We start from the raw sequence: 22776 nt of genomic DNA on the forward strand, positions 1-22776 counted from the left end.
AATCTTCTCTATTTCCTGCTTGTTTGTTCATTAGTTACTACTCGTATATTTTTCTAACTCTTTAAGATGGATAATTAGATCACTTATTTTCAGTCTTTCTTCTTTCTTAACATAAACATTTAAGGCTCTACAATTTCCTGTAAACACAACTCTAGCTCCATGCCAAACATTTTGGCATGTAATATTCTCATTATCATTCAAATTTAGTTAAAGCTATTTTCTGGTTTCTATTTTGATTTCTTCCTTGGCTAAGATATGTATTGCTAAATTTCCAAGTATATGGAGATTTTCTAGTTATCTTTTCGTTTCTGATTTCTAGATTAATTGCTTTATGGTTAGAAAATATTGATCCAGCAATGGACTACTTTTGTCAATTTTCCATGTGAGCTTGAAAAGTAGATCATTGGATACATTGTTCTCTATATTCATTAGATTAAATTTGCTCATTATATTCAAGCCTTTTATATTTGTACTGATTTGTTTTTGTTTGGCTTGTTCTATCAATTACTTAGATGTGTTTAAACTTCACTGTCGTTGTACATTTGTCTAATCCTCCCTTGAATTTTATCTGTTTTTGCTTTCTATATTTTGAAGCTACATTATTTGGTTTGTAGATGTTAAAATTATTATATTTTCTTGGTTGATTGGAGCATTAGTATGAAGCAACCTATTTCTTGCTAACACAGTTTTTTCCTAAATACCTTGTTGACCAATATTGGTATGGCTATACAGTAGTCCCCTATTATCCATGGGGGATATGTTCTCAGATCCCCAGTGGATGTCTGAAATCATGGATAGTACTGACCTCTGTATATGCTATGCTTTTTCCTATACAGGCATGACCTATGATAAAGTTTACTTTATAAATTAGGTACAGTAACAGATTAACAATAATAATGAAATAGAACAATTATGGTAAGATAATGTAATAAAAGTTATGTGAATGTGGTGTTCCCCTCTCTTTTAAGATATCTTATTGTATGTAACATTTCGGAACTCCGACTAACTGAAACCACAGAAAGCCAAACTGCAGATAAGGGGTGACTACAGTCTCACCTTTCTTTTCTCCTTTTCTGTACTTTTCTTTCAACCTGTCTTTTTGTTTCAAATGTTTCTCTTGTATCTCACCATCACTGTCATTTCACTGTAGCATGTAATCCCTGCAGAATTAATGATGCTTACGATTGCATTTAGATTTAAATCTGTAATTTATTAATAGTAGTGTTTACTTGCTTGTTCCGTGTCTTTTTATTTCTTCTGTATCTTTCCTCCACTTGCTAGGAATTGAAACACTCTTGCTATTCTTTTAGTTGTCATCTTAGAGTTAACAGCGTTATGTGCCACAGTCTAATATTGTCACTTTTAATGTCTTCCCAGTCAGTGCAGGAACCTTCTTAATCTATGTTCCACATCTCTTTGATATCTGCCATCTGTTTCTTCTTTGTGATGCCTTCTAAATACTTTCTTTGGAAAATCTTGGACTGTATTAGTTCTCTGCAGTTTAAAATCCTGTCCAATTCATTCATTGGGTTCTTAACTTCAATTATTATGGTTTGCATTTTTCAAAATTCTACTTCATCAATTTTTCTTGTTTTTCATTTTCTTTTGGATTATATCTTCAAGCATCTCTTACATGATTTTTAACATATTAAACATTATGATTTAATATATTGGATTAGATTTCAATATCTGAAATCTTTTCTTTCAGATTTTGCTGGCTCTTACTCATGGTGTCATGTGTCTTTTTGTGGTTTGCATTTTTAAGAATACACCTATATTCCTTGGATTTTCATGTGGAGAGTACTCAAACATCATAGTTGATGATGCATTTCCTTGGAGAGGATTACTGTTTAAGTCACCTTGGGATACTACCAGTCCCAGGACCTACCAATCTAGGTCCTTTCTTAAATTTTTTTGCTTGAGGCTTTTCAAGCAACACTGGTAGCATAAACTGAAATGATAGATTTCTCCACTTAGCACCGAGGGCATGATTTATGTCCACTCTATGGTACAATGTGTCCCTCCTTCCTTATTCTTATCCTGAATATGTAAGCTTTATGCAATGGTCTCATATTAAAATCTCCCCGTGGAGAGTTCCTAGGCTTCCCCTCGTGCCCCCAATCTCCCATCGTACCATGCAGACAACAGAAAGCAGCTCAGAATCCCAATATTTGGCAGAAAATATTAGAGTGAAAATTGACATTGGAGCTTAGTTACCTCCAAGAGTTCTTGCAGTTTATTTTATTTTTACAGTGTATTATATTTTTATTTTCATGTCAGCCTAGTCATGGCTTTTTTTCTGTTGATATTAGTATTTTACTTTCTCTTCGGTGTGGAATGGTATTGCTAGAAAAGGAATGATAAAGTCTATTCCTTTTTAAAAAGTAATTTGATTTATTTTTGTAGCTAGTATTATTTTCAAAACTCTACCAGATATCAATAACTTTCTTTCCATATTTGTGTGTTTTGTGCAATAACAATGAGAAAAATGAGGGTAGCTAACACTTATTAAATAGTGACTATATGCCATATATCTTTATAAATGATTTATATGTATAAATGTATGGAATCCCCTCACCAACTCTGTAAAGTAGATGCAGTTATTATTCCTGTTTTAGAGATGGGAAAATGAAAGCACAGAGTGGTGGGGTAAATTACGTAAGGCCATAGAGCTAACAAAAGTTGCACAGGAGCTATTTTTACATTATAGGCTACAAAGTTAATAAGTAATCTTCCAGGGTGAAAAAAGAGTGGGTTTTGTTGCCACCTAGCTATGGATTTATGTCCAGGATCTGCCATCCACTGTGTCTCCACTTTAAAAAAAATTTGAAAGGGGGCAAATTTCTTTTTCCTTAGTTATTTGTTGTACCTGATATAGTTGTTACTTACTTTTATTATAATAATCAAATATGACCAATGGAATATAAAGTCTTTATTTTATATATGTACATTACTTCTACAGTTTAGTTTTTTACTGTATGTAGCTTTGAGCCCGCGGGTTGGGGTTGGGGGTTGTGTGAGTGTTTTTAGTGTATTCTCACCTTTTTTTTAAAGCTGCGTAGCGTTGCAGAGTATAAATCTAATTAATTTTTTCTTTATTTCGAGATTTTTCAACATTTATTTTACTGAGTTTATTTAAATATTACTAACCAGCCTGGAGAAGACATTTATGTACTGCCCCTGTGCCCTTGGGCAAGGAAAGCTGCAAGTTAAATTTCTTGCCATGCTGAACTGGATCCCGTTGTGGAGTTCAGATGATAACATTTCAACGCATATTGTAAAATTGCCCTCCAAAAAGTTCTGTTACAGGTTCTGCTGTGGAATAGAGAAGTTGGGAATGGACCTATACAAATGTAGAAATTCAAAATGTAGAAATTCAGAATAACAAAGATAGCATAATAAAGAAGGGAGAAAAATAGTGATTAATCAGTTGGTGGAGTCACATCACTGGATGAGGGGAGGGCTTTGGTAAGCCTGGCCAAATCTAGACATTGACAAGGAAAAACTGATAAATTTGTTCATGCGAAAGTTTATAATTTTTATGTTAATCATAAACAAAGCAACAAACTGAAAGAATATATAATATAACAAACATGACAAATGTCTGATTTTTCTACTATCCAAACTGATATTGGAAATCACTGAGGAAAAAGTTAAGCAAAACAGCTCAGGAGAAAACTAGCAAATAGTAACTATTTTGAGTTTTTACAATGTGCCAGACACTGAGCTAACTATTCTGCAAGTTTTTAATTCTAGCAGAATCTGTGATATAGGTATTATTATTATTCCAGTTTTACAGACTGGAAATTATGGTTCAGATTTATTCAATCAATTTCTGGGAGTTACTTAACTTGAAGAGATAAAGGTTGAACTTGAACCCAAGTCAGTTTGCTTATAAATCAATTTTCTTAAATAAATCAATTTTCTTAAGCACGTTCCTAAATAATAGCCCCAGGCCAAAAAAAAAGGTTAGAAATCATAGAGAAACAAATTAAAATGACCAATAGGCATATTAAAAGGTATTCAAATTTGCTTATAATTTAAAGAATTGAAAAAGACATATATATATAATATTTTACCTCATAATAGGCAAAGATTAAAAACAATAACACTCAGTCTTTTGTTTTTGAGAGGGAGTCTCACTCTGTTGCCCAGGCTGGAGTGCAGTGATGCAATCTCGGCTCAATGCAACCTCCACTTCCCAGGTTCAAGTGATTCTCCTGCCTCCCAAGTAGCTGAGATTACAGGTGCACGCCACCACACCCGGCTAATTTTTGTATTTTAGTAGAGATGAGATTTCACCATGTTGACCAGGCTGGTCTTGAACTTCTGAGCTCAAGTGATCTGCCCACCTCGGCCTCCCAAAGTGCTAGGATTACAGACATGAGCCACCATGCCCAGCCTCAGTCTTAACCAGAGGATGAGATTACTGTAGTTCTCCTATACTGTTGATAGAATTGTGATTATTTATACAAGTTAGACAATCTCTGTCAGTCTTAATTTGCTCATCTATAAAATGGGGCAGAATTATTAAGAGCATTACATTCTAAATATGTGAACAATGTTAGCACAATGCCTGGCACATATAAAATGCTTAATAACTTTGTGGTATTCCCTCTAAAATCCCGTCTCCCATAAAAAACATTCTACCTTTCTGTATTCCTAGCACAAGGCAATGAGGCTCTACGGTTAAATCTGTATGTGAAGATGAAGACCATTAAGAAGAAATACTCTCGGCACCTCAGTAGGGCGTTCGATCTCTAGGAATGCACATGAATCTCTACAATATATCCAAGTCCATGTCCCATCTTCTAGATCTCCATTTCCATGCCAGTCAAAGCAGGCAATAGATACAACAAAAGGAGCCAGGAGCTCTGTGAAAATAATACATAGTGTAATCACCTACATTATCTATTAATGGCAGTGTGATGATTTATAGTCAAATGCTTCCCCATTTATTTCAAGACACTGTTAGATTTCTGGTGTAAACAAGTCTGGAAATTCTAAATATAAGTAATCAGTGAACACAAAACCACCAATGCCATGTAATACAGTCCTCCCCATGGGGCACAGTGGCTCACACCTATAATCCCAGCACTTTGGGAGGTCAAGGCAGGAGAATTGCTTGACCCCAGGAGTTCGAGACTAGCCTGGGGTGACATAGGGACGCCAGAGCTCTACAAAAATTTTCAAAATTAGAATTAGGCTGTGGTGTCTCTTGCCTGTAGTCCCAGCTACTAAGGAGGCTAAAGCAGGAGGATCGTTTGAGCCTGGGGGGTCGAGGCTGCAGTGAGCTATGACTGCATCACTGCTCTACAGCCTGGGTAACAGCAAGATCCTGTCTCAAAAAAGACAAAAAAGAAAAAAAAAAAGTTCTCCCTTTTCTGGTAAAGGAAAGGTTACCATAATTACTAGTAACCGTGTGTTTATTGAGAGACAATTGTTGAATTAGAAGTGACCTAACCCTTAGTTTTGAAGATCTCCATGCATAGCCATCGTGGCAACATTGCAGTTTTTAATCACTTCTGAGAGCCAAAAGTCTTCTCTGGAACTATGGGTTCCAGGGAGGTAAAGTCACCAATATTCTGACAAATTGAATGGCAATTGGTTTGTGACTGTCCTTTTAAGAATGTTTTTCCAGTACCCAATCATTTTGGCAGACTCTCATCTTGAGGTTTTTAACAAAATTTTTCCAATAGACTGTAAAAAAAATTTCTATAATTATGAACATGAAATAAACATGACAAGTTGACTCTGTGGCAGTTGTTGAACATCAGAGGAAATTATATTTATGTGGTTTGTCTACAGCACATTTAACTGGACGGTCCCCTTCCTTTCATCTCTGGCCTGTTTGATTCTGGCAGCAGCCACCATCATTTTGTATTTCATTCCACTGCGGTACATCATTTTAATCTGGGGTAAGTTTGGAATGGTCCTTTTGCTAGCAATCAATTCCAGGTAAGAACCAATTACTCATTTTTAAAGTGCGACTATTAATTTTAAATGTGCTCTTGTTGGCAATTAAACATGAGATTAAGGAAAGCATTTGGGGAACAAAAACTTCCAGGACCTCCCTGAAAGGCCAGTTGCATGAGTGATCAGCATAGATATTTATAGGCCTCTTGCATAATTGCAATCAAATAAAAATGTGATTGTACATGCCATTTCCCTTTGGGCTTTGCTAGTCATAAATCCTCTTGGATAATATATTGCTGTGCCCGGGTAACTTTAAGGAAACACTGTTCAAACAGTGAGCAAACACCTACCTGCATCATGCCCTTGATATTATGTAAAAGTGGATCTGGCCACTACCAGGTTGCTTCTGACACTTCATCCCTCTTGGAGAAAAAAATTCACCTAACCCCATTCTTAAATCCAGAAGCAGGGAGAGGGAGGGGAGGGGGCGTTCTGTGAATACCTAACCAGTGCCTGAACAGAGAGGAAGTTATTATTTACCAGGGGAAATGGTGTGCCTACATAAAGTTTAGCTGCTTTAAAAAGAAAGTAGAAACAAAACTGGCAAACTGGAAATAAATGTCATGACTTGATTTAATACTCAAACTAGCGGTTGGACAAAATGCAAGCAGCTTGGTGAGTATTAGTGTCTGTTCCTGGGTGGGCTCTGAGTTGATATAAGGAGAGGGAACTGCAATAACTGAAATGTTGGAGAAGCAGTTAGCCGTTCTCCGTAAAGGGTCTGCCAATCCTGGTTTTCCATGACTTAGCTATGACTGCCGATGAATTCTCAATGCTCGTCACTTCCAGGGATCTTCAGATGTTAAGATGTTTGGGGAAATCACAAAGAGAAGAGACTGTGTTGAGACGCATTCATCCTTAAGCAAAAGCTGAGAGCCTGCAAATGCTGGATGAAAGCTACAACCTTTCTAAAAACCATTAAATATAGACTTTTTCAAAGAGCATCCAACAAAGTAGAATCCTGCTGTCAAGAAAAGCCAAACTTGGGCAATAGGAAAAAGTCACGGGAAAAATAGAGTAGCTCATACAATTACAGAAGTAGAATGATTTAGGGATTTTGAGAGAGTATAATCCAATTATTCTCTAAACTATTCAGGGATCTATTTTAATACTTGATGATCCTGATTCTTGGAGGAAAGTCTCATCTGTGCTTAGTTCTTGTTGGTATTTTTTGTTTACTTGGCAACAATAATAGCAAATTGGTCCTTAAGAGAGAACATAGAGCTCTTCAGGGCCACTGATTAAGAAGGCATATTTTGAAAAAAAAAAAAAAAAGTATTTTCCTGAATAATTTATATACTGAATGTTATTTGCATCAACTGGTTATCTTATTTTTCAATTATGTTTTCGTGCGTACTACTATCTTGTTTACTGATAACATTTAGAACATAGATCTTGAGATTGTTGTCTGACTCTAACCAGAATGTGATTAAAAATTGCAATCATTTGGCTAGTGGTTTGTTCACTTTTAAGTTCATGTAAGTTGAGTGCCATGGTCAGCTGTTAAACATTGCTTCTTCTGGACTTCCTCATCATCCTGGTGCTTGCTTGGTCTGTTTCTATGCATCTTTCCTTCCACAAAGAAGACTAATACTGGCTGGGTGCAGTGGCTCACGCCTGTAATCCCAGCACTTTGGGAGGCCGAGGCGGGCAGATCACCCGAGGTCAGGAGTTCGAGACCAGCCTGGCCAATATGGTGAAACCCTGTTTCTACCAAAAATACAAAACTAAGCCAAGGTGATGGCAGGCACCTGTAATCCCAGCTACCTGGGAGGCTGAGGCATGAGAATCGCTTGAATCCGGGAGGCGGAAGTTGCAGGGAGCTGAGATCAAGCCACTGCACTCCAGCCTGGGCAACAGAACAAGACTCCGTCTCAAAATCAAAACAAAACAAAAAAACGAAAAAGACAAATACTCTATTTTCTCATTTGATCATCAATTTTGAGATTCCAATCCCTCTTTCTCTATATCCAAATCACCTTGGCTTCTGATCTTATCCTCCAAGATCTTGGCAGCTTTCCAACAACTTTTTGCATCTACTTAATGAAATATTGTTCTATTTTCCACTTTATGGATAAAGTTATTAAATGGTATGGAGTTTATTATGCTCTCTTGGGCTGTCAGTAACCCTCTGAGCTTTGTACTTTACGTCTGGTTCTTCAGTTTTACATTTTAAACAGAAGCTCATAGTTTATTGAAGAGCTTACCATAGTGAATGTAGTTACAAGCCTTGACAATCACCACGTGATCTATTGCCTCTTCTCATTATGTAAAAACTGCCATGCCATCCTAGAATATATTCTGTAATTCTGTTAGGACTTATCCTAAGACAAATTAGTTACTAGCTAGCATAGGGCAGGACATTATTTTGCAAATTTCTTGTATGATTGCATCCTTTGCAGCAATTTTTTTCTCACAAAGGAGATAAATGTATATGTCTTAAAGTTTTAGTGGTTTTTCTAACTTTAAGGATCAGAAGACTTTCTTATTCTAAGTTACTTATTCATTTTTTATTGAGTGCTAAAATGGTGAATAATATCCTAAAATGTTTTGTTCTATGTTTTTAATTTTTTGAAAAAAATGTAACTATATATACTAGATTTCCATATTTTATATCCTCAAGTCATATTTTTATATAAGTATCAGAATCATTTCACATAAGCACATAAAACAGCCTAATTTTATACTAGCTATTGGGAATATTTTTGGACACACCAAAATTATTTTGACAGGTGAGATGCTTTATTTCCTCTTTAGCCCTATAATTCTTAGTGCAGCCACATTTATGTAAGAGATCTTTAATGAGTTCTTAAATATTTTTATGAATGAATGAGCCTGCAAGCTTAATACCTGTGCTCTATATAGATGACATTTTGTTAGGCCTATGACCTCTCCTGTGTAGGAGTGTGATTTTTGAAAATTAAGTGAGAAGTAGATTTTAAGGATATCTGAAGTTTTCTTTAGGAAACATTATCTACTGCATTTTAGTCACTTACATGAAGTATGTATTTCCAGAAGGCAGAGCTTTTCTTAGGATTAGATCCCATGTGGGTTTCCTTTTGAGAGATTTCCCATATTCCTTCTATTGTAGAGGTTTTAATTATACTTTTTCACTTCTAGTTGAAACCACTTCTGTTTTTTCAGGGTAGATATTAATTCTCTAAGCTAAATTTTTAGCTTTTTGCAAGAAGGACCTATGCCTCGTTTAAGTTTGTATCTTCACTTGATAGCACAATATTTTTTTACATGGAAGACACTCAGAATTTGATAAATGAACAGGCAAGGAACCCCTGCCTCACCCCAACCAGTGTATTACAGTTGGAGCTACCTGCTGGTCGCTCATATGAATATCTGAAAAATGGTGTTTTAATTGTGTTTCAAGTGGTTATTCTCAAGTGACCAAATGTGCAAAGCAGCCATGCAATTTTTCCATCTCTTCTGATTTTCTCCAAGTGATTTTTTTTTTTTAAACTGTAGGGCTCATTCCACATTCCACCCCACTGATCAATTCAATCTATGATCCAGGACCAGTACATGATAGCATCTTTCCCAACAAAATGTTATTCTTCAGTATTTTATCCCACTTGCTTTTTTTCTGTTCTTTCTTTTCTTTCGCTAAAAGTAATTTTACAACAGATATACCCTCCCTCTGTACTATTTAGGTTAAAAAAATCTAAGGTATGTTTAGCATGCTAATAGATGAAGCCACAATTTCTAAATGTGTCTGCATCATCATAGTTGGCTTTAATAGTATTAAAGGCTCTTTTCCATGCTCACTTCCTTTGTCTCCTTAGCTTGTTTGCATGTACAGTAATGATGGTAGCCCTCTGCATTGTTGTAGAATTTCAGACTACAGTATCATTTTGCCTGTACTGCCCAATGTGATTCTCCCATCTACCCAAGAAACTCTATAAGGAGGTCTTTATTATTCAAATATTAATGTAAGAAATGTGAGGTACAGGAAGGTTACGTGATTTTTCTAAAATCACACAGCTAATACATGAAGCCAGAACGGGGGCCCAGGTATTCCTACGTCACAACCTTTTTTTTCTTGTCCCTTAAAGAATGACCAAGGTGGCTGGGTGTGGTGGCTCACGCCTGTAATCCCAGCACTTTGGGAGGCTGAGGTGGGTGGATCACCTGAGGTCAGGAGTTCAACACCAGCCTGACCAACATGGCGAAACCCCATCTCTTAAAACAAAAAAAGGAACCAAGGGGTCTGTGATTTCCTGTTGACAGTCGGTCTCACAGAGTTGTGAATAGGGCAAAATTATTGAAACTTTTGATCCTGGACACCTTCATAAATAAGGTGTGCATTTGAAACATGCAATCTGAGTGCCCTATAATTTTTATCCTAAGTTTTTTTTTTTCAAACATAGATAGTCTCAGTGCATTGTGGAATACTTTTGCCCTCATTGGTGCATTTGAGCTACTGTGCAGGTTTATAATCTTCTCAGTGACTAAGAATGCAGTGTTTTGATCAGCTGTGATATTATCCCTGCCTTGCCGTTCATTGTGAAGACTCCAGATGCGCACACCATATATAATTAACAATAGAAGATATATCTGTTCTCAATACGTCTTTGTCTCCCTTCATCATTTTGCCTTGTCTGTTTTCTTTTGCCAAAAAGCCCATGCTACAATTAAATGTCTTTAGAATAACACAGTGAGAGTATTTCAGTGTAAAGGAACACTGGGGGAAATTTTAGCTAGAAACGTGAAGCTTGCTGTGGGGGTAGAGGGAAAAAAGGCAGAGTGCAGCTTTGACTTGAGGGAAAGGCGATCATTTGCTAGGAACCTTCACCAGCCCAACCGCCAAGCCACCATTTACTCGGGCACAATGGCTGGCTCCCATTTGCAAAGCAGATGTAAATCTGACCCTCCAAAGAAATAACTGGAGGTTGGCATTGTGTCAGGTATAATGCCATGCAGGAAGCCTAGTCCTCAGATGAAAGCAAAATAATACTTAATGAACAACAACAAAAAAATCAAACCCTTTGTGTGTTGGGGACTACTGAACAGTTAAATGTTACCTTGACTTCTGAGTAGGAGCCATTCAGAGTACAACGAAGCTAAGAATTCATTCAGCGTCATTGGGACTGACAGCCCTTCAGATATGATCCTTGTTAAACAAGCACCCTGTGGCAAAACTTCAGAAGGCCACCTAGTCTTTCTGCTTCTAAAACTCAACATGAAAAACGGGTTGACATTTGGTGAAAAGACTACAGCTTATGAGCTCCGGATATAGTCAAAGCAGCTCCAAAGAGCAGAGTAGAAGACAAAACGTGGTTGAGAGGAACTCCCCTCTAAAGAGTAAACCAGGGGCAGAGCGTGTCCTGGATATGCACGGGAACCCAAGGTGCAGCCACCAAAGAGGGACGGTCTATAGGATGTTGACATCTTAAACGTTCAACCCGTTTCTAATTATCCTTGTCCTTGTCCTAAATTAGCATGTTCTCCATTGCCCAGACAGACCCACGCACCGACGTTGTGATCCATAAATTAAGTTAGCAACCATAGTAAGATAATTTGCCAATAATAACTTTTCACAGTTTCCTGCAGCATCAAAGTACAATCAACATGTCAGGTTCTGTTCTGCTGTGAGAGGAGAGAAACCTGTGAAAATGAGTTGGAGGTGGGGAAAGACAGATGACTGCGGTTTTCTTTGTAACAACAAGAAAACAACTCCCGCCCTCTACCTCCCACTGCTACGTTTGGTCCAGAGCCTCCAAGCAGGGACTTGTTTGGGCTAATGAAGGCCTTTTCCCATCTGGGACATTTGTTTTCATAGCAGAGGCGGCTGTTAATCAGCGTATTCCAAAAAAGCCAACGTGCTCCCCAGTTTGAGCGTGTGTTTCTGTCGCCCTGCTGCTGGGATTGTAATGGGATTTTCACAGCTGAAGAAGGCAGAGCCCCTCTTCACCAGCCCCTGCTTCCTGCCTTCAGGAAAAGGCATTTGTGAATGATTCTACATGACAGCAACATGTGCTTGACTTGAGGTCTGGTAATTGTTTTCACACTAATTTTTACTTGTGAATATCCCCTCTCCCCCGAGTCAGGCGAGTTTTTGAAGATAGATGCTAGATAGATAGATGATTGACTGACAGATAGATAGATAGATAGATAGATAGATAGATAGATAGATAGATAGACAGACAGACAGATAAAGAGATCTCCTGTGTTTCTATTTTTCAGGCATAAATAAATTTACTAAGAAGCTTCGAAATCCCTATTCCATCGACAATAATGAGCTACTAGACTTCCTCTCTAGGGTACCGTCTGATGTTCAAAAGGTATGTAATGAATGGTTACCACCAACAGTGGCCCCAACCTGAAATCTGGCCAGCCCCGGAGCCAGAGGAACACAAGGCTTTGCTTGTGTGAGTAATTGAGATAAGGAACCAGAAAATCCTTAAAGAGGCCTGGCTTGCAGAGAAGTGGCAGAAAAATCTTTGTCCAAAGCATGAGGTGATTGGGGGAAATTGTTTTGAAAAAGAGCTACTTAAGTATGATCTGGAACTCACACTGTGTGGCTACTGGGCACTGATGCTTGTCCCCTTTCGATTGCTTGCCTCCCTAAAGAGGATAAGATGGGCTCAGTGAGTAGAATTGCATGAGATCCAAACCCAGGGAGTGTTGCTTATTTTCTTCTTCCGGGTGGCAAGCATTTTAGGGGAAGTAGGGGACAAAAGGATTATTCTTTTTATTCTCATTTGCCCTGATTTATCTCCTAGGCCTCCCTTCTATCGTCTTCCCTCTGAAGACTTAGGGATGCTGAGAATGCAGCCCCCATTTACTGTAATACACAAAGAGGCAGAGGCAGTGTGAAATAATGTGAGATCAATCAGAAGTATTATTCACAGATAATGGTCACCTAGTCCAGCAGTGTCCTGTTTCTGTGGATACACAGAGATTAACGAAGGCAACAATACTAGAAAGTCGTGTAGAGTAGCTCGATCCTGGCCCCTGTGGATCAGCCTGCTATAAATCCAGAGGAAGGAGGGCAGGCGGCAGTTTCTCTAATGGAGAACAGAGATCACTGAATAGGTAGATGGGGAGACCATGGCGTGAAATATCATCAAGATGATCAAAGACACAATCCTTTAATATCTCAGAGAATCCCAAATCAAATATCGATTTTCATATTTGAGCCACTGTAGCATAATTGGTTCCCTGGCAGCTCAGGGAGGATTTCAAAGATCTGGGGCGGAAAAGCCTTAGAGTTTCTTTCCCCTTCATTCCGAGTTCTAGAAATTAAAATGGACTCTGTGATGCTATCTTCCTTTAAAATTCATTTCATAATTAGCTGTGAAAACACATTCTAGAAAGATGAATTTACTCTTTAACATTTGTATTACTTAATTAAAAAATAATAACCCGGCCCCTGTTTGTTTTGCATTGAAGATTGACAGGTATGTCATCCTCTGCTCCCTTAGGGCACCTTCGCAAAACACCATAAGGAATGGGGTGTTTTCTTCATTTATCTGCCTCTGACAAAGTACAGCCTGACTTCTGTGATCAGGCATAATGTCCTTGGGGAATTTGTCACAAATGCTAAAAATAGGGAGCACATGTGGTCTGTAATACAATGTTTTAAATAAAGCCATTCCACCAGCAGCCTATCAAAGCCCACACACCAAAGCAATATATTTGCAACGTACCATCACTTGGGTCGCAGTGTGAGTTCACACTGTATCCTTGAAGAACAGAAATTTCCCTCAAGCCCCCAAGGATTCTCTGTGCAGAGTCCAGTCACTAGCCCTCAAAGTGGCCATTCCAGTTGGAGATGGCATGAACACAGAGAGATGCAGCAAAAGAACATTCCAGGAAGATGTACAGTATGCTAGTAAGATCCTCCGTGTATCGCCAAGGGCGCTTTCTAATAACACAGTGACAGTTTGCCACTGGGGACTCCCAAGTACTCATATTTATCACAGATGTTTTAGTCATTACATTGCAAATGAAATTAATTTCCACGAGAAATCTATATAAAAGTCTGGGGTCCAGTATCAATTTCAGCATTTTTTCCTCTCAGGCAAAGTAAATGTGTATAATTTTCCGAGATGTTTTCCCCAAGATTTTAGATATTTTTAAACGAATAATCCTCAGTAAGTTGCTGTATCATATACTAAGATAAACATTCCCAAGAGGCAGTTATTAAGCTTACTTATGGTTGAAAACTGGCACACACAAAACGAACATCATCTAGCAGTGCCCAGCGAAGGTAGAAACCCACGCATCTCATTAGAAAAATCTGCTTTTAATATTTTGGTTTCAAGAAATGATGCATGACTTCTCAAATCCTTCCTGCAATTAATCCCTCCATGTTCCTGTGTTTAGAAAATGATTCATTACCTTTGAACCTTCCTTCCTTTGCCTTCGGTTGTCCTTGGGGAGCCATTAGCACACACTGTGGCGAGCTAGGGTTACCTAACCGCCAGCATCACGGCTATTTGTTTTCACAGGTGCAGTATGCAGAATTGAAACTCTGCAGCAGCCACAGCCCCCTGCGGAAGAAGCGCAGCGCTCTCTAGGGCACACACCGACTTTGGACAGCAGCACCCAATATTGTGTTTGGTTGAGTAGACCAATGTTATGGCTGTTTCAGTGGTACCCAAGGTGTCCTTCTGAAATGCATGCCCTGTGGCACCCTCTGTATACTTCCTCCTCCTTCACGTGCACAGACATACACACATGTGCACACACCCTCATGCATGGGTGTCCTAGTTGCGTAGAGGGTCAGCCCAGCGAAAAGCAACAACCCCAAGACTGTGAAAGACTAACATCCATTCTGAAATAGGAGATAACAAGGCTGCCATGGATCTGAACACCACCTTCCTTGAGAACAGCCAGGAGCCCACTTGGATTCAAGAGTGACTTTGAACTTGTTTTCACACCTCCAACAGACTCTCATTAAGATTCAGTTATTTCCGCTCCCCAGCCCCACACTCCTTTCAGATTATCGTTCATGGGCGTAAGTCTCTTCTCAGAGTTAACAAGTCTTTGGTAGTCATCCTCTGTCCAAATATTGTATATTATTAAAAGGCATTTTTAATAATTACCAGAATTAGCTCAAACCTTTAGGGATCTTTCAGCCATGATTATTAAGGATATGTATGTGAATTTTTGGGAAACCTCTCGGTGCTGGATGCCAGCCTACAGCAGGGTCCATTGCTGGCAATGGATGGCCCAGGAAGGTCCCTAGAGATCACTCACTTGAAAAATGAGGGTCCCATGAAAGTATTTGGTTGCCTTCTGATGCCACTTCTTCTCACTTTACTTTTTGCTTATTTTCAAAATATTATAAAATGTCAACATATAATTTCAGAAAGGCAGGTGGGGGTAGGGGAGAAATGAATGAATAAATTCTCTAGGTATTTAGAAAGATAAGAAACTGAAGACCGAGAGACTAATAAGGCTGCTTACCTAATTATTATAATCATTTCATTTGCCTGAATGTTTTAAGCAGGAAGTAGAAATACTTTGGCTGCCCAAATGTATCTTTTGTTCCTCTTAGAAGTAAAATAAGCTACATACAATAAAAATTTATTTCAGAACCCCATTTCTAGAAAATACCACCCCAGAGTCCTCATTTGATAGCATCTGTCTCCTGCAGACCTCATCATTCCACAGTATTTCCCTGCCATGTAAAAATCCTGACTTTGTGCGTATATAAAATGTATGCAATTAAGTCTGTTTAAATGATATTTAAGTTTTAAAGACTGTATTTTGTTGACACATACTTTGTGCAGTTTTTATGTATGTATGTATTATAAAAAAAGTTAAGGTTAAAAAGATCTCATTTAATAGTGAGTTCACTATTTTTTTTTTTTTGTCTCTGGGTTGTAATTTAATAATCTTCAAACAAAATGTTTACGAAAAATGCCAAAGATTCTAAATCTTATCATCCCGTGTCTGTTTTTCTTCATGTTGTATCTCACTGGGTTGCTTTCTGGCTGAGCCAGAATTCTGCATGATTTGATTTACTTCAAGTTAATGAAGCTGGCTGGAAAAGAGCCTTGCAGAAATTATAAAAGCTCCAGTAAATCTCGTAGTTGTACATACAATAGATACCCAAGAACCTCTTTTGTTAAACCAGTTACTCAATCTTCTGTGTAAACAATGCCTCATTGTCTTGCTTCTAACTATCATCTAGTTTATCATAGTCTGTCATTTTGTAACGACCTAAGTCAGACATTTTTAAACAGACATGTGAGATCTGATCAGTCATTTGAATGAAAACTTTCAGCAGCAAAATAACCCCTTATTTATTTAAAAGTGGAACCAATACTTTATTGTTGTTCTTTTGCTATAGAATTTCAAAATGAAATTATTTGCCCGACAAGAAGGCATCATTAGTTAGACTTGTTTCCTCTGTAGCCCGATTGAAATTCTCAGTGTTAAGTTTAGGACCCAAACACCAGCTGGGACGTAAGAGCAGGACCGAATCAACCTTGAATAAACTGTATATAGAAAACAATTGTTAGTTGATTAAGTAGACATTGGATGTTTGTTAGAAAGGAATGTTAGTTGTAAGTGACATGTTAAGATTTATACAATTGTCAAAAACTTTTAGGAAAGATTCCAGAATGCTTTTGATAAAATTTATCGATTGTGGATTCACAGTGTGATAATTAAGTAGGGATGTTGAAGTCTTGCCAAGTTTTCCTGGTTCCCTTCTCAAACTTTATCTTCCCATTTCTAGCCCTGTCTCTCTATCTTACAGGCATCTACACCTCAGCAAGTCAGAAACTAAACATCATCTGTCTCTCCCTGTCTTCAGAACCCCAACCCTCATAATCTCCTTCCAGCTTCCTTATTTCCCTTACCAGGACTGGCATTTTCTGGGCTTGGAATTTCTCGGTCATCCTCTTTTTTTTTGTTCCTCGTGCTGTTGTCCTCGTCTCCCAACCCCTAAAGCCTAGTAGGTCCAGTGTCAATGCATTAACCACTTCTGTTCTGATTTCCACCACCCAAGTGGAGGCCTTCATAACCTCTCAGACGTCACGGCCATGATGCCAGTTACATTATGCCTAGTTAATCTTCATTCAGACTGGAAGGACCTGCCCCCAGTTGTTTCTTTCTGAATAGATTCTACTCTCCTTCAACACTTCCAAAGTCTCCTGCCCCAAAGAGGCTTAGTTAGTCCTGTGGCTGGATGTGACTCCAACTTCCTTTTTTGTACCATCACATCTTTCATATCTTTCTGGCATCTGCCATACATCATAAGAGGCTTTGACCACTGTCCTCCACTGAATAGCCCATTACAGCTAGCACCTAATAGTTACTCAGGAAATAAATACATGTTTAACAGGCCAGGTCGTAGAGATTATTTTTCTTTCTCTGCCTTTTCATGTGCTGCTTTCAGAACAGAGGGCTGGATTGGATAGATTAGTATGATCTATCCTGGAGATTCATTTCTTGCATTAAGAGCTTATTTTGTGTGATATTATTTATAATCCCTGACTATGTCAATTATAAACTTTTAAATTATGTCTTATATTTGAAGTTCTTACCTACATATCAGAGGAAAATATAATGTTTATTTCTAGGTGGTAAAACAATCTTCTGGATTCTTTTTTCTTTACTTGTAAATTATCATTTAACAAGTCTATATTGAATGCCGATAATTTTCTGGAACAAAACAGACTACATTCCCTTGGTAAAGCCAGACATTAAACAGATACTTTCAAGCAACAGCATGCCATGCTCAGATTTAAGTTTGAAAAATATTCTAGCTGCAATGGATAGCCTAGCAATTTTCAAAGTTTAGAGAAGTTATTAATATTAGCCCTTTGTAGTACTCCTGATAAATGAATAACACCCTGGACTTTCAAATAGTGGCACTGGGAAAAAAGTAAGTAGAATTGAGAGATGGTGAAGAGATAAAGTGAGCAGGACTTAACAATTGCTGGACTATGGGATGAGGGAGCGTAGAGTCAAGGATGGCTCTCAGTCCCTAGGTCTCCAGGTCTAGGAAGATGGTGTTACCTTTCACTAAGGGAGAGAACTGTAAGAACTGCTGTGAGAGGACCACAGGAGTCCAGTTTTAGCGCTGAATCTCAGGTGACTGAAAAGCATCCAAATAGGAATGTCAGCAAGGTAATGGAATATATAGTTCTCAGAGAAGTAACACACTGTACTTGAGATGTACACAAGTTAAAGGCAAACATTGTATATGAAAAGTGATCAAAACTACATGCTTCAAGAAATTAAACCTTGAAGAACTCAACAGTTAATGTCATATATAGAAAGGCAAGTCAGTTAAGAGTGTAAATAGAAACGGGTAAATACAGAGGAGAAAAACAGTAAGCATGGACTGTCCTAGAATTCAGTGGCAGAGCATACTGCAAGAAAGCTGATGTGGTCAATAATATCAAATGCCGCTGAGATCACATAAGTACAGAATCATGACCTTAATGGTTTGACAGTTTGGAAGCACCCTGGCAACAAGCCATTTCAGTGGAATGGTAGAAATGGAAACCACGCTGGGTTGAGAAGTGAGTGGATGTGAAAATATGGGGCCTCTGAATGGAGGTAACCCTTGAAAAATTCCACTGTGGAGAAGAAAGGAGAGAGAGAGGGCTGGAATTTGGAATGAAAGGAGATATTTGGGATTATTTTAGTAAGAAAACAGAGGTGTCATGACCTCAGTGTAACCCTATTAGCTGCAAAAAATTCTTCATGGGCTTGAGATGGAGTTAGCCATATTCATTATTGAAAACTATGTTCTGCACTTATACATTGTTGGTTGGAGTGTAAATTAGTTCAACCGCTGTGGAAGACAGGGTGGGTGTTTCCTCAAAAACCTAAAGACAGAAATACCATTTGACCCAGCAATCCCATAACTGGGTATGTACCCAAAGGAATATAAATTGTTCTACTATAAAAACACATGCACACACATGTTCACTGCAACACTATTTACAATAGCAAAGACACTGGATCAGTCTAAATGCCCATCATTGATAGAATGGATAAAGAAAATGTGGTAGAGGTACACCATGGAATACTATGCAGCCATAAAAAAGAATGAGATCATGTCCTTTTGCAGGAACTTGGATACAGCTGGAGGCCATTATCCTTAGCAAACTAATGCAGCAACAGAAAACCAAATACCACATGTTCTCATTTATAGGTAGGAGTTAAATGATGAGAACACATGGACATGTAGAAGGGAACAAAATACACTGGGGGCTATTGGAGGGTGAAGGGTGAAAGGAGGAAGAGGATCAGGAAAAATAATGAGTACCAGGCTTAATACATGGGCGATGAAATAATCTGTATGACAAGCCTCTCTGACACAGTTTACCTATGTAACAAACCTGCACAGTTACCCCTGAACTTTAAAAAAAACTATGTTCTATCAAAACCTGCCTCTCATTTATGTATTAGGAATCTTGTGACAACGGAACAGTTGAAAAATTAAAATAAAAATTGCCTGAAAATGCATTGAGTAGTAACTGATAATTGAATAAATGCTGAAATCCTGAAGGGTGACTTCTAAAGGAATGGCTTCAAGCATGTTACCTCTGTGTAAAGCCCACAGCTGTTCTGTCCTAGCATTTATGTAATGATTTACACAGGAAAATGGATATTCAAGCACACAAGAATACTAATATTTTATGGCATTTATCAAATGCCAGTTACTTTCTAAGTGTTTTAGATATAATTGCTCATTCAAAATAATTCTAAAAACTGAAATTTCTCCAAATACTTATAGGAAAAAAAAAAAACCTGTCGCTCTTATACAAACTCTTCTAGACAATAACAAAAGAAAAAAAACCACTTTCTTAAGCATTTTATGAGGCCAACATAACTCTCCTTCAAAACCAACTAAGTTCTACCAGAATGGAAAACTACTTAAGAAAATCCCTTATGAAGATACAAAATTGTGAAAGATATACAGAAGTCTTTACACTGAAAACATCAGTGAGGCTTCCAGATACTTGACCAGACAATAATGAGTAGATAATCACAGTTCACATATATAAGAGAGAATGCTGGAATTCTACAGATAAGTGACAGGAAACACCTAAAGCAAGGAAGGGAAAGAAAGCAATACAGTCTGTTCAGGTGGGATAGGCTAGGAGCCAGGAAAGGCTTCCCAGTATGAGAAAAGAGTAAGTGGGTGACTCCTAGTGATCAACGTTCCCACTACAGACTCCCACATTCCAGCCATAGGAATGCCCCTAGACTATTGTGAGCCCCCAGACCAACATAGGGAGCTACCTGAAGACCGTGTGACGATACTGCCCCAGAGAGGGAGCACACATAATCCCACACACCCCCAAGTCCTAAGCAGCTACAGCAAGTTGTCACTTGGATATCTCAGCCCTCACCAGACTGCATTCTGTCCTGGGCCCTACAGCCCCTGCATCTTCATATCCCTGGAACCCCAATGACATGCTTCACCTGCAGCCACAACTCCAGCTGCCTGCTACCTGTAGGGCTTAAGTGTGAGCTGTTGGCAGCTACCACACTGCTCCCAACTGTGAAGCTGCTGTGCAGCTTTTAATCACCCTAAGGACAACAAATCCACCAGGTGACAGCCATAGCAGTGGGCTGCCTCAACTGGGGCCAAAGGCAAGTGAAATGTACACTTCCCAGGCACTTGTGTGCCACTGCTGCCATTGAAAGTGACTCTATTCTCCCCTGTACCAGGGGTGCAGTACAGCTGCTGCCACCCCAACATGAACATTCTGGGGCCTGGGGTCACACCGCCCCTGCCTTCCATAGTCAGTGTCTGCAAGCACTACTGAAGGATGTGAGGATGAGTCCACTGGACCTAGCTCTGACCCCCACCCCCTAGTATCAAATCATGGCATCTGGAGGCCTGGGGAGTACTCAGCCCAGTCCACCAATATTGGCACCTGAGCACTCCAACAAGGGCCCTGAAGTTGGGGCCACCCAACCTGCCACTACCATCACAATGAGCACACACACACACACACACACACATACACGTGTCACCTGTGGGCCTGGGGACTGGCCTGCCCAGCCTGTCACAACCACTGCCAACACCACTGTGGAGCTCTTGGGACTCAGAGGTTAGTCCTACCACTACTACTGCTTCACCCATGCCATGCCAACTGCCCAAGTGCCCAAGGACACACTTACCACCAGCCCACGACTGCCACTATCATCACCCAAACAAGCTGCCTGGAGGCCCAAGAATTGGCTGGCTTGGGTCTGCTAGCACAGTGCCAGCATACACTGTCCTAGGGCCCAAGGACAGGCCCATCTGGTGTCCTTTTCACAAGCAAAAGTTCACCACAGCCTTCCCTAATAACCACAACCTAGGCCACTGACGAAAATCACAGACACCAGTGAAGCTATTTAGAGCCAAAGAAATCATGAGAGCTACACTACTGCATACACCCAGAATCAAAGCCAAAGTACCATACCCAACAAACACCACAGACACATCTTCAGGAAAAAGCCCTGCCCTAGGAAAGCAAGTTAAAAAATGGAAAGAAGTGATTGTCATGACAGATGTTCAGATATCAGTGTAAGGACACAAGAAACATGAAAAAAAAAAAAAAAAAAAAAAAGCAAAGATAGTACTTCCAAAGGGACATAAAATCCCAGCAACAGATTAACCAAAAGAAGAAATCTATGAAATCCTGGATAAAGAATTCAAAATACCAATATTAAGAAGCTCAGTTAGATCCAAGAGAATACAGAAAAACAATACAAATAAATCAGAAAAACAAGTTAGTATATGAATGAGAAATTTTCTAGAGATAGATGTCATAAAGAACAAAACAAATTCTGGAACTGAATGATTTATTAAGTAAAATACAAAATACTTTCAATAGCTCAACAATAGACTAGATCAAGAAGAATTTCAAAACTTGAAGACACGTCTTTTAAAATAACACAGACAAAAATAAAAAAAAATTGAGCAAAGCCTACGTGACATATGAGATACCTTATAGTGATCAAATTTTTTGGTGTTCCACAAGACAAAGGGAAAATAAAAAAGTTAGAAAACCTATTTATTGAAATAATAGCTGAAAACACCCTAAGTCTAGGAAGAGATTTAGACATTCAGATACAGAACGTTTAGAGATTCCAAAACACAATGCAAAAAGGTCTTCTCCTCAGCACATTATAATCAAATTGTAGTAAGTGGAAGATCAAGAGAGTACTCTTAAAAACAGCAAGAGAAAAGCATCAAGTGCCTCATAAGGGAACCCTCATCAAACTAACATTGAATTTCTCCTCAGAAATTTAACAGTCCAGGAGAGAATGAGATGATATATTCAAAGTGCTGAAAATAATAATAATCATCATCATCGTCATCATCATCTTTCCAAGCTAAGCAAAAGCTGAGAGAAATCATCACCCTAGACTGGCCTGGCAAGAAATGCTTAAGGGAGTCCTACCTGGGAGGAAAGAGACACCATCTACAATCATGAAAACACATGAAAGTACAGAACTAAATGGTAGCACAAACACAAAAATAAAGAAGAGAAAGGACACAAATATTACCACTACAGACAACTATCAACCCACAATAATAAACATTAATGGAGAAAGAAAGGAACAAATGATATACCAAACAACCAGTAATCAATTAATAAATAACAGGAATAAGCCCTCACATATCAGTAATATCTTTGAATGTAAATAGATTAAACTTTACACTTACAGGATATAGACTGGCAGAATGTATTTTTAAAATGACCAATTATATGCTGCCTATAAGAAATAAGAAGCCTGCAGAAAAGAAACTTACTACAGAGGAAAAGAAGCCTGCTGCATAAACTCTTAAATTTGATTATTCCATAAAGG

The 22776-nt window shown here is 38.6% G+C and overlaps 1 protein-coding gene across 22 annotated transcripts in view; it reads left to right on the forward strand.

The window, feature by feature from the left end:
* The window catches only part of MCTP2 (multiple C2 and transmembrane domain containing 2), a 252587-nt gene extending 233159 nt beyond the window's left edge, over positions 1-19428 (forward strand). For all 22 annotated transcript variants that reach the window (NR_169532.1, NR_169530.1, NR_169529.1 and 19 more), the window contains 3 exons: positions 5809-5918; positions 12172-12269; positions 14442-19428. Coding sequence is in view for 15 of the 22 variants with exons in the window: in XM_047432839.1 (XP_047288795.1) it covers positions 5809-5918; positions 12172-12269; positions 14442-14510 (277 nt within the window). In the remaining 7 variants the exon portion in view is untranslated. The remainder of the gene's footprint in view (positions 1-5808; positions 5919-12171; positions 12270-14441) is intronic.
* Positions 19429-22776: the final 3348 nt, after the last annotated feature.

The sequence above is a fragment of the Homo sapiens genome, chromosome 15 (assembly GCF_000001405.40).
Source record: "Homo sapiens chromosome 15, GRCh38.p14 Primary Assembly".
Lineage (NCBI taxonomy): Eukaryota > Metazoa > Chordata > Mammalia > Primates > Hominidae > Homo > Homo sapiens.